Genomic DNA, 16230 nt, shown 5'->3' with positions numbered 1-16230 from the left:
TCCCCCATCCCCTCACCCCACACCAGTCCCCAGTGTGTGATGTTCCCCTTCCTGTGTTCATGTGTTCTCATTGTTCAATTCCCACCTATGAGTGAGAACATGCGGTGTTTAGTTTTTTGTCCTTGTGATAGTTTGCTGAGAATGATGGTTTCCAGCTTCATCCATGTCCCTACAAAGGACATGAACTCATCATTTTTTATGGCTGCATATTCATGGTATACACGTATTCCGTGGTGTATATGTGCCACATTTTCTTAATCCAGTCTACCATTGTTGGACATTTGGGTTGGTTCCAAGTCTTTGCTATTGTGAATAGTGCCGCAATAAACATACATGTGCATGTGTCTTTATAGCAGCATGATTTATAATCCTTTGGGTATATACCCAGTAATGGGATGGCTGGGTCAAATGGTATTTCTAGTTCTAGATCCCTGAGGAATCGCCACACTGACTTCCACAATGGTTGAACTAGTTTACAGTCCCACCAACAGTGTAAAAGCGCTCCTATTTCTCCACAGCTTCTACAGCATCTGTTGTTTCCTGACTTTTTAATGTTCACCATTCTAACTGGTGTGAGATGGTATCTCATTGTGGTTTTGATTTGCATTTCTCTGATGGCCAGTGATGATGAGCATTTTTTCATGTGTCTATTGGCTGCATAAATGTCTTCTTTTGAGAAGTGTCTGTTCATATCCTTTGCCCACTTTTTGATGTGGTTGTTTGTTTTTTTCTTGTAAATTTGTTAAAGTTCATTGTAGATTCTGAATATTAGCCCTTTGTCAGATGAGTAGGTTGCAAAAATTTTCTCCCATTCTGTAGGTTGCCTGTTCACTCTGATGGTAGTTTCTTTTGCTGTGCAGAAGCTTTAGTTTAATTAGATCCCCTTTGTCAATTTTGGCTTTTGTTCCCATTGCTTTTGGTGTTTTAGACATGAAGTCCTTGCCCATGCCTACGTCCTGAATGGTATTGCCTAGGTTTTCTTCTACAGTTTTTATGGTTTTAGGTCTAACATGTAAGTCTTTAATCCATCTTGAATTAATTTTTGTATAAGGTGTAAGGAAGGGATCCAGTTTCAGCTTTCTACATATGGCTAGCCAGTTTTCCCAGCACCATTTATGAAATAGGGAATCCTTTCCTCATTTCTTGTTTTTGTCAGGTTTGTCAAAGATCAGATAGTTGTAGATATGCAGCATTATTTCTGAGGACTCTGTTGTGTTCCATTGGTCTATATCTCTCTTTTGGTACCAGTACCATGCTGTTTTGGTTACTGTAGCCTTGTAGTATAGTTTGAAGTCAGGTAGCATGATGCCTCCAGCTTTGTTCTTTTGGCTTAGGATTGTCTTGGCAATGTGGGATCTTTTTTGGTCCCATATGAACTTTAAAGAAGTTTTTTCCAATTCTGTGAAGAAAGTCATTGGTAGCTTGATGGAGATGGCATTGAATCAATAAATTACCTTGGGCAGTATGGCCATTTTCATGATATTGATTCTTCCTACCCATGAGCATGGAATGTTGTTCCATTTGTTTGTATCCTCTTTTATTTCATTGAGTAGTGGTTTGTAGTTCTCCTCGAAGAGGTCCTTCACATCCCTTATAAGTTGTATTCCAAGGTATTTTATTCTCTTTGAAGCAATTGTGAATGGGAGTTCACTCATGATTTGGCTCTGTGTTTGTCTGTTATTGGTGTATAAGAATGCTTGCGATTTTTGCACATTGATTTTGTATCCTGAGACTTTACTGAAGTTGCTTATCAGCTTAAGGAGATTTTGGGCTGAGACGATGGGGTTTTCTAAACATACAATCATGTCATCTACAAACAGGGACAATTTGACTTCCTCTTTTCCTAATTGAATGCTCTTTATTTCCTTCTCCTGCCTGATTGCCTTGGCCAGAATTTCCAACACTATGTTGAATAGGAGTGGTGAGAGAGGGCATCCCTGTCTTGTGCCAGTTTTCAAAGGGAATGCTTCCAGTTTTTGTCCATTCAGTATGATATTGGTTGTGGGTTTGTCATAGATAACGCTTATTATTTTGAGATACGTCCCATCAATACCTAATTTATTGAGAGTTTTTAGCATGAAGTGTTGTTGAATTTTGTCAAAGGCCTTTTCTGCATCTATTGAGATAATCGTGTGGTTTTTGTCTTTGGTTCTGTTTATATGCTGGATTATGTTTGTTGATTTTCATATGTTGAACCAGCCTTGCATCCCAGGGATGAAGCCCACTTGATCATGGTGGATAAGCTTTTTGATGTGCTGCTGGATTTGGTTTGCCAGTATATTACTGAGGATTTTTGCATCAATGTTCATCAAGGATATTGGTCTAAAATTCTCTTTTTTTGTTGTGTCTCTGCCAGGCTTTGGTATCAGAATGATGCTGGCTTCATAAAATGAGTTAGGGAGGATTCCCTCTTTTTCTATTGATTGGAATAGTTTCAGAAGGAATGGTACCAGCTCCTCCTTGTACTTCTGGTAGAATTCGGCTGTGAATCCATCTGGTCCTGGACTTTTTTTGGTTGGTAAACTATTAATTATTGCCTCAATTTCGGAGCCTGTTATTGGTCTATTCAGAGATTCAACTTCTTCCTGGTTTAGTGTTGGGAGGGTGTTTGTGTCGAGGAATTTATCCATTTCTTCTAGATTTTCTAGTTTATTTGCGTAGAGGTGTTTATAGTATTCTCTGATGGTAGTTTGTATTTCTGTGCGATCAGTGGTGATATCCCCTTTATCATTTTTTATTGTGTCTATTTGATTCTTCTCTCTTTTCTTCTTTATTAGTCTTGCTAGCAGTCTATCAATTTTGTTGATCCATTCAAAAAACCAGCTCCTGGATTCATGGATTTTTTGAAGGGTTTTTTGTGTCTCTATCTCCTTCAGTTCTGCTCTGATCTTAGTTATTTCTTGCCTTCTGCTAGCTTTTGAATGTGTTTGCTCTTGCTTCTCTGGTTCTTTTAATTGTGATGTTAGGGTGTCAATTTTGGATCTTTCCTGCTTTCTCTTGTGGGCATTTAGTGCTGTAAATTTCCCTCTACACACTGCTTTGAATGTGTCCCGGAGATTCTGGTATGTTGTGTCTTTGTTCTCATTGGTTTCAAAGAACATCTTTATTTCTGCCTTTATTTTTTTATGTACTCAGTAGTCATTCAGGAGCAGGTTGTTCAGTGTCCATGTAGTTGAGTGGTTTTGAGTGAGATTCTTAATCCTGAGTTCTAGTTTGATTGCACTGTGGTCTGAGAGACAGTTTGTTATAATTTCTGTTCTTTTACATTTGCTGAGGAGTGCTTTACTTCCAGCTATGTGGTCAATTTTGGAATAGGTGTGGTGTGGTGCTGAAAAGAATGTATATTCTGTTGATTTGGGGAGGAGAGTTCTGTAGATGTCTATTAGGTCCGCTTGGTGCAGAGCTGAGTTCAATTCCTGGATATCCTTGTTAACTTTCTGTCTCGTTGATCTGTCTAATGTTGACAGTGGGGTGTTAAAGTCTCCCATTATTATTGTGTGGGAGTCTAAGTCTCTTTGTAGGTCACTAAGGACTTGCTTTATGAATCTGGGTGCTCCCATATTGGGTGCATATATATTTAGGATAGTTAGCTCTTCTTGTTGAATTGATCCCTTTACCATTATGTAATGGCCTCCTTTGTCTCTTCTCATCTTTGTCGGTTTAAAATATGTTTTATCAGAGACTAGGATTGCAATCCCTGCCTTTTTTTGTTTTGCATTTGTTTGGTAGATCTTCCACCCTCCCTTTATTTTGAGCCTATGTGTGTCTCTGCATGTGAGATGGGTCTCCTGAATACAGCACACTGATGGGTCTTGACTCTTTATCCCATTTGCCAGTCTGTGTCTTTTAATTGGAGCATTTAGCCCATTTACATTTAAGGTTAATATTGTTATGTGTGAATCTTATCCTGTCATTATGATGTTAGCTGGTTATTTTGCTCGTTAGTTGATGCAGTTTCTTCCTAGCCTCGATGGTCTTTACAATTTGGTATGTTTTTGCAATGGCTGGTACCAGTTGTTCCTTTCCATGTTTAGTGCTTCCTTCAGGAGCTCTTTTAGGGCAGGCCTTGTGGTGACAAAATCTCTCAGTATTTGCTTGTCTGTAAAGGATTTTATTTCTCCTTCACTTATGAAGCTTAGTTTGGCTGGATATGAAATTCTGGGTTGAAAATTCTTTTCTTTAAGAATGTTGAATATTGGCCCCCACTCTCTTCTGGCTTGTAGAGTTTCTGCCGAGAGATCCGCTGTTAGTCTGATGGGCTTCCCTTTGTGGGTAACCCGACCTTTCTCTCAGGCCGCCCTTAACATTTTTTCCTTCATTTCAACTTTGGTGGATCCGACAATTATGTGTCTTGGAGTTGCTCTTCTCAAGGAGTATCTTGTTGGCATTCTCTGTATTTCCTGAATTTGAATGTTGGCCTGCCTTGCTAGATTGGGGAAGTTCTCCTGGATAATATCCTGCAGAGTGTTTTCCAACTTGGTTCCATTCTCCCTGTCACTTTCAGGTACACCAGTTAGACATCGATTTGGTCTTTCCACATAGTCCCATATTTCTTGGAGGCTTTGTTCGTTTCTTTTTATTATTTTTTCTATAAACTTCTCTTGTCACTTCATTTCATTCATTTCGTCTTCCATCACTGATACCCTTTCTTCCAGTTGATCGCATCGGCTACTGAGGCTTGTGCATTGGTCACGTAGTTCTTGTGCCATGGTTTTCAGCTCCATCAGGTCCTTTAAGGACTTCTCTGCATTGGTTATTCTAGTCAGCCATTCGTCTAATTTTTTTTCAAGGTTTTTAACTTCTTTGCCATTGGTTCGAACTTCCTCCTTTAGCTCGGAGTAGTTTGATCTTCTGAAGCCTTCTTCTCTCAACTCATCAAAGTCATTCTCCATCCAGCTTTGTTGCATTGCTGGTGAGGAGCTGCGTTCCTTTGGAGGAGGAGAGGCACTCTGATTTTTAGAGTTTCCAGTTTTTCTGCTCTGTTTTTTCCCCATCTTTGTGGTTTTATCTACCTTTGGTCTTTGATGATGGTGACATACAGATGGGTTTTTGGTGTGGATGTCCTTTCTGTTTGTTAGTTTTCCTTCTAACAGTCAGGACCTTCAGCTGCAGGTCTGTTGGATTTTGCTGGAGGTCCACTCCAGACCCTGTTTGCCTGGGTTTGAGCAGCGGTGGCTGCAGAACAGTGGATATTGGTGAACCTCAAATGCTGCTGCCTGATCGTTGGTTGCTCTGGAAGTTTTGTCTCAGAGGAGTACCCGGCCATGTGAGGTGTCAGTCTGCCCCTACTGGGGGATGCCTCCCAGTTAGGCTACTCGGGGGTCAGGGATCCACTTGAGGAGGCAGTCTGCCTGTTCTCAGATCTCAAGCTGCGTGCTAGGAGAACCACTACTCTCTTCAAAGCTGTCAGACAGGGACATTTAAGTCTGCAGAGGTTACTGCTGCCTTTTGTTTGTCTGTTCCCTGCTCCAGAGGTGGATCCTACAGAGGCAGGCAGGCCTCCTTGAGCTGTGGTGGGCTCCACCCAGTTCGAGCTTCCTGGCCACTTTGTTTACCTACTGAAGCCTGGGTAATGGCAGGCGCCCCTCCCCCAGCCTCATTACCACCTTGCAGTTTTATCTCAGCCTGCTGTGCTAGCAATGAGTGAGGCTCCATGGGCATAGGAACCTGTGAGCCAGGTGTGGGATATAATCTCCTGGTGTGCCGTTTGTTAAGCCCTTTGGAAAAGCGCAGTATTAGGGTGGGAGTGACCCGATTTTCCAGGTGATGTCTGTCACCCCTTTCTTTGACTAGGAAAGGGAATTCCCTGACCCCTTGTGCTTCGCAGGTGAGGTGATGCCTCACCCTGCTTCGGCTCACGCATGGTGCACTGCACCCACTGTCCTGCACCCACTTTCCGGCACTCCCCAGTGAGATGAACCCAGTACCTCAGTTGGAAATGCAGAAATCACCCGTCTTCTGCGTCGCTCACGCTGGGAGCTGTAGACTGGAGCTGTTCCTATTCGGCCATCTTGGCTTCACCTCCCAGCAGATTCTCAAGTTATTAAAATTTTTAAAATTATGATTTCATTGTTATTAAAATATTTAAAAGTATGATTTTGTTGTTTCAGAATGGTTAAAATATGAGTAGGAATGGGAGATTTGGCTGGTCTTTGTCCCTGGTTCTTGGAAAGGACCTCCAAATTCTTGGAAATTTCATGAGTGATGGATTGGATTAAGAAGCAACGGAATGTAATCCCAGCATTTTGGGAGGCCAAGGCAGGTGGATCACCTGAAGTCAGGAGTTGGAGACCAGCCTGGCCAACATGGTGAAACCCTGTTTCTACTAAAAATACAAAAATTAGCCAGTCGTGGTGGTGTGTACCTGTAATCCCTGCTACTCGGGAGGCTAAGGCAAGAGAATCGCTTGAACCTGGGAGGCAGAGGTTTCAGTGAGCTGAGATCGTGCCACTGCACTCCAGCCTGGGTAACAGAGTGAGACCCTGTCATAAGATAAATAAATACGTAAATAAAATAAATAAGAATGGCAATATCAGAGGGCTACAAATAGCAGGACGTATAATGGAAGAGCTTATTGCTAATATAATTGTTTGATCAATTAGCAAAATTGGGTAGAAGTTAGGGTGCTGTAAAATAATTTAAAAAATTTGGGGTTGCTTGCACACAGCTTCTAAAACCCTTAGAATATCTGTAGTCCTGAGAGTATCGGCCAGGCGCGGCGGCTCACACCTGTAATCCCAGCACCTTGGGAGGCGGAGGCGGGCGGATCACGAGGTCAAGAGATCGAGACCATCCTGGCCAACATGGTGAAATTCCGTCTCTACTAAAAATACAAAAATTAGCCAGGTGTGATGGTGGACGCCTGTAATCCCAGCTACTGAGGAGGCTAAGGCGGGAGAATCGCTTGGAGGCAGGAGAATCACTTGAACTCAGGAGGCAGAGGTTGCAGTGAGCTAAGATTGCGCCACTGCACTCCAGCGTGGTGACAGAGCGAGACTCCATCTCAAAAAATATAAAAATGAAAAGTGTCTTTTAGGCATACAGAGTGGTATAATGGATATTGGAGATTCAGAAAGAGGAAGGATAGGGGAAGCGAGGGATGAAAAATCACCATTTGGTACAATATATACTATTGGGGTGATGTGTACACTAAAAGCCCAGACTTCACCACTCTACAATTGATCTGTGCAGCCAAAACCAGTTGTACTCCTAAAGCCATTCAAATAAAAAATTAAAAAAATTAAGGAAATGAGACGTAATATAAACAAAAAACAAATAAAAACAGTTATTGTATGTTCAAAAAAGGAAGTTTCCCCACTACTTCTGGGGAAGGGAGAGGGACTGGAGATTGAGTTAGTCACCAATGGCCAATGATTTCCTCAGTCATGCCTATGTGATGAAATCTCCATAAAACCCCCTAAATGATGGGGTTCTAAGAGCTTCCAGTTTAGTGAACACATCGAAGTGCTGGGAGCGTGGCACTCCCAGAGAGGGTGTAGAAGCTCTGCACCCTTTTCCCCATACCTTGCCCTATGCCTTTGATTGTTTCTGAGCTGTATCCTTTATAAGAAACTGGTAAGAGCAACTAAAGTGTTTTCCTGAGTTCTTTGAGGCATTCTAGCAAATTATGGAACCTGAAGAGGGGGTTGTGTGAACCCCTGAACTCGTGACTTGTGTCTGGAAGTGGGGGTAGTTTTGTGGTACTGAACCCTTAAGCCTGTAGAGTCTGATACTACCTCTGGGTAGTTATTGTCAGAATTGAAGTGAATTGTGGGACACTCATTTGGTATCTGGAGAGTTGGAGAACTGGTTGGTGTGAGAACCCACCACCCCCCCCGCCCCCATATTTGGTGTCAGAAGCATTGTGAGTAAAAATAGTTCAGATGCAGTTTGTGCCCATGGGGTAGAGAGAAGCTGTTTGATCCATCTGAGACTTGTATTTGGAACCTTGGCCTCATTGGTCCCCCTTAACCAGAGCTGTCTGACAGTCTCCTTGTAAGATAAGGGCCCTCAAGGATAATAGGGAAGCAAGAAAAGTCATCTGTGATGTTAATGTGTCATATTGAAAAAAGAGGGGCCGAAAGGTGAACTAAGCATTTATCTGTTTTTTTTTTTTTTTTTTTTTTTTTTTTTTTTAAAGAGAGTCTCACTCTGTTGCCCAGGCTGCAGTGCAGTGGCATGATCTTGGAGCCTCCACCTCCCAGGTTCAAGTGATTCTCCTGTCTCAGCCTCCCGAGTAGCCAGACTTACAGGCATGAGCCACCATGCCTGGCTAATTTTTGTATTTTCAGTAGAGATGGGATTTTGCCATGTTGGCCAGACTGCTCTTGAACTCCTGACCTCAAGCGATCCACCTGCCTTGGCCTCCCAAAGTGCTGGGATTACAGGCATGAGCCACTGTGCCTGGCCACGAACTAAGCCTTTATCTGATTTCACTTGAGTATATTATAGAGTACTGCTTTGCTCAAAGGAAAATGTGAAAAGATAATTAATATTCAAACACACATATTTATTAGCCTAGCATGCTAAAAATATGTGAGCTGTGGGTCCTAGGTACCTCAGGACAGCTGATTACAGGAACACTCCTCACAGAAGGAAGGGACAGAAGAAAATGCACAGGGACTTTTAGGAAGATAAGTTGGACTGGAGGTCAGAGACTGACCCAGGGATCATCCATGAGTGTCAGTCACCTATCCTGGATACATGTGTAAATTTCGGATCTCTACCTGAGTTGGAGGCTGCTTTAAAGTTGTCTCAAATGGATTCCTCTCCAGGAGAGATGCCTGCTGAGAACTCAAAAGAACGTTCCTGATAATTTCTAAAAGATTCAATCCTTAAAACTTGTTTCCAAACAGACTTATAAGGAAGCTGATTTTTGAGGCAGAGGCCTTAAAAGTGTCATATACAAGTGGCATCATTTTAAGTCCAAAGTGAAACCCTTGATTTTAATAAGCTAGTTTATTAACTAAAGCTGTTTTCTTATGTTACAGTATTTCAGCACATTTCATTCAACATAAAAAGAATATTAAATATCCCTGGTTGTGGGAGAGTGTTTATTTTTCTCAAAATTATCTAGCATTTTGCTTACAGTGCTTTGAATATTTGACTTAAAATTATTATTGATGTTGAAGTGTAGGGTGCTGATTTAGGTCTTGATTCATATACATTTAAAGGAGGTTGGTAACCCCCTCATGGTAGAGTGAAGGGAGAAAAGGGCCAAGAGGACAAAGTACCACTGATAAAGAAGAGATTGTCAAATAGATGCATTCCTAGTCATGAATTATGCTTTTCCAAACATTTTTAAAGCAATGCCTTTGTGTCAACTCAACCCTTCTTCCCCATTTCTTGTCATAGAATGTAGCATGGCCATAGGTGAAAAAGCTTATCATTAAAGTATGAAACCATGAATTATAAGCATTTTGCCATGATGCCCTTTTATACTTATATTTTTAAAATTACTAACCAACATATAGGAGTTTAGGAATAGTGAAGATATAATTTGATTAAGTTGTAGGTAAACAGAAAGGATAATCTTAGGCTCAGAATTTCTAATATGATTACGTGAGTCTACTTTATAAACTGGTATAGCCTATGTTATTAGCCCATAAGTTACTTAAAGGACCAGTGGACCTAATTTTTGTCAGTTTTCAGTCACACTGGTGCCATTCAGGACTCCAGCTGTTTACAGGAAATATGTACTTAGCAGAGTAGTATTTTTCCTTGAAAAAAATTTGAATTCAGCCTAAATACAGAATGAATATGAATAGCTTGTGAAAAGGGTTAGAGAACAACAATATTCCTATAGTTTCTGTATTAATGCAGTAGAGACAGAGGTTCCTGACGCAGAAAGAAAACCACAAGTAAAAACTGTCAAATTAGAGCTTTAGAATATGACTTGAAAAAGTAGGGATGGGAAAACAGCATAAGAAAATATTTTTTCTTAATGAAGATGGACAGTGTTTACTTGTTTTAAAAATGTTTTGCCTATTTGCCAGCATTGTTTGAAGTAATGCACTGCTGCTACCTGGAAGATGTCTAACTTCATTTTCTACAACTCTTATGTGATTTTGCCATTGTCATCAAGATGCATTGATTTTATTTATGAGGTATATAACTTTAAATATCTAAATGCTGTATTAAGTGACTTGTTTCAAAGGAATAAATAAAGTGAAAACAAAAACAAAAACAAAAACAAAAAAGAACATTCCAACTATAGTTATATGTAGTGTAACAGTTCCTGCTCAGGGTGGATGGGATTCAGAAACTCTTAAAGGTAAAGAAGGAAAATAGCAGCAGTGATCTGAATGTTAAACTGGGGCTCTGTTCTACTTTATTCCAGGGGCCAGAGCTGGACCATTTTCACAGATGAAACTCAGCCAAGCTGTTTAATGCTTCCTTCGTATGTTTGGAAAAGTAATAAAAGGTACGATTGACCCACAGGCCACTAGAAAATTAGCTGCTCACTCTGGGGTCAGTCTGACCTTCAGGAAAACTTTTCTAATTGGAACTTGGCTATGTTTTTCCAACATAGACTTAAATCAGACCCTTCCAGAAAAGAATGGTTTGAGGAATTGTTGCTATACAGTCATCAGCTGGAGTGAGGATAGATTTATTTTGTTCACTTATTACTGTGTTCATTCAACAGATAATTTTTGAGTACCTACCATATTCTTACATTCTGCTGGAGCTAGGGCTAAAATGGTGAACATGACTGGTGTGATGCCTGTTCTCACAGAGAAGTAAACAATTATAATACCATCTAAGAAGAGTAAAGGAAGCATATTGCCAGGCAGTATACAGGAGAGGTATTCAACCAGAGTAGAGAGGTAGTGAAGATGATCAGGATACTCGTGTGTGTGTGTGTGTGTGTGTGTGTGTGTGTGTGTGTGTGTATACTTTTTAAAAAAAATTAGTGACTAATCTTTTTTTTTTACTGTCTCCATAGTTTTGCCTTTTCCAGAATGTCATATGGTTGGAATCATATGGTATATAGCCTTTTGAGATTGGCTGCTGCTTTTTTCTTGCTTTCTCTCTCTCTCTTTCTTTCTTTTCTTTTCTTTTCTTTTTTTTTTTTTTGAGATGGACTCTCGCTCTGTCACCCAGGCTGAAGTGCAATGGCATGATCTTGGCTCACTGCAACCTCTGCCTCTTGGGTTCAAGCGATTCTCCTGCCTCAGACTCTGTAGTAGCTGGGATTACAGGTGCCTGTTACCATGCCCAGGTAATTTTTTTGTATTTTTAGTAGAGACAGGGTTTCACCATGTTGGCCAGGCTGGTCTTGAACTCCTGACCTCAAGCGATCCACCCGCCTCGGCCTCCCAAAGTGCTGGGATTACAGACGTGAACCACCGCACCCAGCCCAGATTGGCTTTTTACTTAGTAATATGCATTTAAGTTGCTTCCACATCTTTTTGTGGCATGATAGCTGCTTTCCTTTTAGTTCTGAATAATATTCTATTGTCTGGATGTACCAAAGTGTATATACCTGTTCATCTACTGAAGGGCTTCTTGGTTGCTTTCAAGTTTTGGCAATTATGAATAAAGCTGCTGTAAACATTTGTGCAGGTTTTTGTGGGGACTTAAGTTTCAACTGGCTTTAATATTTTATGTCTAGTTTCCTAATCCATTTGGAGTTTATTCTTGTATGTCATGTGAGATATGAATCTAATTTTATCTTTTTCTAATGGTTACTTAGTTCTCCCAGGATAACTATTAAAAAGCCCATCTTTGCCTTAATGATTTGAGGTGTCAGCTTTATCAGATCTGAATTTCCAAATGCCCTCAAGTCTGTTCTGAGCTTTCTATCGTATTCAATTGGTTTATTTGTATATTCATGTGCCAGAACCACACTATTTTTGTTATAGAGACTTCATAGTGTGTTATAGCATCTGCTCTCTTATTATTATTTACTTGCTCTCTTTTGCTTTTTGTTTTTTGCATTCTTCTGGCTAATTTTTTATATTTGTTTTTCCATATAAGTTGTAGCTTTTTTTTTTTTTTTTTTTGAGAAGGAGTCTTGCTCTCTCACCCAGGCTGGAGTGCAGTGGCATGATCTCGGCTTACTGCAACCTCTGTCTCCCAGGTTCAAGAGATTCTCATGCCTCAGCCTTCTGAGTAGCTGGGACTACAGGTGTATGCCACCATGCCTGGCTAATTTTTTTTTTTTTTTTTTTTTTTTTTTGAGATGGAGTCTCACTCTGTCACTCAGGCTGGAGTGCAATGGCGCGATCTTGGCTTACTGCAAGCTCTGCCTCCTGGGTTCACGCCATTCTCCTGCCTCAGCCTCCCGAGTAGCTGGGACTACAGGCACCTGCCACCACGCCCAGCTAATTTTTTTTTTTTTGTATTTTTAATAGAGATGGGGTTTCACCAAGTTAGCCAGGATGGTCTCGATCTCTGAACCTTGTGATCCACCTGCCTTGGCCTCCCAAAGTGCTGGGATTACAGGCATGAGCCACCACGCCCAGCCCATGTCTGGCTAATTTTTGTATTTTTAGTAGAGACGAGGTCTTACTATGTTGGCCAGGCTGGTCCTGAACTCCTGACCTCAGGTGATCCGCCTGCCTTGGCCTCCCAAAATGCTGGGATTACATGTGTGAGCCACCACGCCTGGCTAAGTTGTAGTTTTAACTTGTCTGATACCATAAAAATGCTTACTGTTATTTTTATTGAGATTTTATTGAACTTTTAAATTAAACTAGGAAGAACTGACAATTTAATATTTAGTTTATTATCCAAGGACAGGCAATGTCTATTTGTTCAAGTCTACTTTGGTGCCTTTTGAAAGTATTTAAAAAATTCTCCACACATAGTTTTCACACATCTCACGCTAAGCTTATTAAATATTTAGTTTTCTTTGTTGTCGTCACAAGTAGTATTTGTCTAACTGGTTGTTTGTGTATATGAAGGCTGTTGATTTTTGTATGTTAATTTTATATTCTGCTACCTTATTATATTTTTAAATGTTTAAGTTAGTTTTCTTATACTTTAGGGTCATCCAGGGATACTGTCTTTCACTGGAATGTAGAAATATTTTTACTTCTTCTTTATCCATTCTTATGCTCCTAAGTAATTTCTCTTGTCTAACTGCATTGACCAGTATCCCTAATTAAGTATCGAATAGTAATCGAGATAGCAGGCATGCTGGTCTCTTTTCTGATCTTAATGGAAATGCTTCCTGTCTTTCCCAGTTAAATAAAACATCGGTTCTAGGATAGATAGATATGGATTTTAGGTATATATGATGTACTTCAGGTTTAGGTACCAGTGCCACTTGCTTTATAAAGGGAATTGGGATGTTTTGCTTGTTTTTTAATGCTCTGGAACAATTTATAGAGCACTGGGACTATCTGCTCTTTGAAGGCTTACCAAGCCTTCCCTGGAAAACCATGTGGGCTTGATAGTTTTTGTGTAAGGAGCAATTCTTACTTTCTCTATGTTTTTTCTATGGAAAGTGGTTTGTTTAAGCTAATTGTAATTTGGTAATCTGTATTTCTCTAGGAAATTATCCACTCCATCTAGTTTTTCAAATTTATTTCCATAGAGGTATACAACAAAATAGTATCTTATAATTTTTAAAATTTCTTCTTTCAGTAGTTATTTTCCCTTTGTCATTTCTTATTTTGCAGATTTGTGATTTCTTTTTTTTTTTCTGGATCACATTAGTTGGTGGCTTGTATATTTTCTTAGTTCTTTCAAAAACCCAAGATTTTAATTTATTAATTAGGTCTACTGTAATTTTCTATTCCCTTCCTCATTAATTTCTGCTTTTATCTGTATTAGTTACTTCCTTGTGCTTCTTTTTTTTTTTTTTTTTTTTTTTTGAGGCAGAGTCTCGCTCTGTTGCCTAGGCTGGAGTGTATGGCGTGACCTCAGCTCACTGCAACCTCCACCTCCCGGGTTCAAGTGATTCTCATGTCTCAGCCTCCCAAATGGGTGGGATTACAGGCGCCCACCACCACACCTGGCTAATTTTTGTACTTTTAGTAGGATGGAGTTTTGCCACGTTGGCCAGGCTGGTTTCAAACTCCTGACCTCAAGTGCTCTGCCTGCCTCAGCCTCCCAAAGTTTTGGGATTACAGGCGTGAGCCACTGTGCCCGGTCTCTTCCTTGTGCTTTATCTTGGCTTATTTTATTGTTCTGTTTTTGTTTTTTTTTTTAACCTGAAATTTTAATTCATTTATCTTCAATCATTTATCTTTACTGATTAAAAGTGTTTACTGTGCAAAGATTCTTTCCGTGATAAAATTCTAGTTAGATTCCTTTCAGCTGTTTTTTCAAGTAGGCACTATCTTTAGGTATGTCCTCAGCAAGAATCCTGCTAACTCAGCTTAGCTAGAATCCCCCACCCTCAATATTTGATTACCCTTAAATATATGATCAAATTCCTCATTCTCCGCCATCTCCCAGGTAATATCTGATTACCTTGGCCTGCTGTTAGCAAGATTCTTTTTAGGTCAGTTTAGCAAGGATTACTCTACTCTCTTAGTAATTTTCTATCTACTGACCTCCCTTACTCCCAACTCTGCTCTTTGACTATAAATTCCCCCTTTTCCTTATTCTTTTTGGAGCTGGGCCCAATCAGTCTCCTGTACTTCAAAACCTCACCGTAGTAGTCCCTGTAACTATTGCAATAGTCCTGAATAAACTCTGCTTTACTGTTTTAACAAATGTCATGGGTAATTTTTTTTTTCTTAACAGCTGCTATGGATTTTCCTCTGGTGGCTGTTATTATGTATCCCATAGATTCTGATATGTAGTTGTTTTCATTGTCATTGTTTGAATATTCTATAGTTTCAGCTGTATTTCTTCTTTCACCCAGAGTTGTTTAATAGTAGAAGATTTTAATATTTCCAGGTGGAAAGACCTTTCTGATTTTATTTTTGTAAGTATTTTCTAGTTTTATCATATTGTGATCAGGGAGTGTTGTTTGTAATATTTCTACATTATGAAAATTAGTAGTATTTTCTTTGTGATCTAATATATGACCAGTATTTGTGTTACACAGGTTCTTGAAAAGTTGCATTCTCTATTTTCAGGTATAGGGTTCAACATAACTCTAAAAGATATATGTTATTACGTATATTGTTTGGATTGGCTATCTCCTTACTTTTTGTGTCTACTTGTTTTGTGCTGAGAGTTAATATATTAAAATATTCTATTATTAACATGTTTCTAAGTCTCCTTGCAGCTCATGTAGATTTTGTTTCATAAAGTTGGTTTCTGTAGTATCTAATGCATAAATATTCTTGTTATATCTTTATCATGAATTACAGCATTTAGCATTAAAAATTATAGATTTGTTAATTTTCCTCTTGTTCATTTTTGTGGTATTCAGTGTTTTACAAGATTCTTAATCTAATGCTCTTCAAAGATGCATGCACTGCCCTCACAAATCTATTTCAAAAACTGATGAACAAATTCAGTAAAGTTGCAGGATAAAAAATCAACATACAAAAATCAGTAGCATTTTTATATGCCAAGAGTGAACAATGTAAGAAAAAAACAATGGAGCAATCCCATTTACAATAGCTGCAAATAAAACAAATACCTAGGAATTAATCAAAGAAGTAAGAGGTTTCTACAATGAAAACTATCAAATATTGATGAAAAAATTGAAAAGGACCTTAAAATTGGAAAGAGATTCCATGTTCATGGATATGAAGGACCAATATTGGTAAAATGTCCATACTATCCAAAGCAATCTACAGATTCAGTGCAATCTCTATCAAAATAACAATGACATTCTTCACAGAAATAGAAAAAACAATCCTAAAATTTATACAGAACCACAAAAGACCCAGAATAGCCAAAGCTATTCTACACGAAAAGAACAAAACTGGAGGAATCACATTACCTGATTTCAATTTATACTACAGAGCTATAGTAACCAAAACAGCATGGTACTGGCATAAAAACAGACACATAGACCAGCAGAACAGAATAGAGAAGCCAGAAATAAACCCATACATCTACAGTGAACTCATTTTCGATGAAGGTACCAATAACATATTTAATACATTGGGGAAAGGACAGTCTCTTCAATAAATGGTACTGAGAAAACTGGATACCTATATGCATAAAATGAAGTAGACCCTATCTCTCATTATATACAAAAATAAAAATGGATTAAGACTTAAGTCTAAGACCTCAAACTATGGAACTACTAAAAGAAAACATTGGAGAAACTCTCTGGGACATTGGAGTGGGCAAAGATTTCTTGAGTAATAC

At 39.3% G+C, this 16230-nt stretch overlaps 1 long non-coding RNA gene across 2 annotated transcripts in view; it reads left to right on the top strand.

Moving 5' to 3' along the window:
* LOC107987046 (uncharacterized) overlaps positions 1–16230 on the top strand; it is a 100037-nt gene that overhangs the window by 26888 nt on the left and 56919 nt on the right. For both annotated transcript variants that reach the window (XR_001746614.2, XR_001746613.3), the window contains exon 2: positions 10340–10423. This is a non-coding gene — a long non-coding RNA (uncharacterized LOC107987046). The remainder of the gene's footprint in view (positions 1–10339; positions 10424–16230) is intronic.

The sequence above is a fragment of the Homo sapiens genome, chromosome 9 (genome assembly GCF_000001405.40).
Source record: "Homo sapiens chromosome 9, GRCh38.p14 Primary Assembly".
Taxonomy (NCBI): domain Eukaryota; kingdom Metazoa; phylum Chordata; class Mammalia; order Primates; family Hominidae; genus Homo; species Homo sapiens.
The sequence above is the reverse complement of the archived record's forward strand: the minus strand, read 5'-3'. Positions and strand labels throughout refer to the sequence as shown.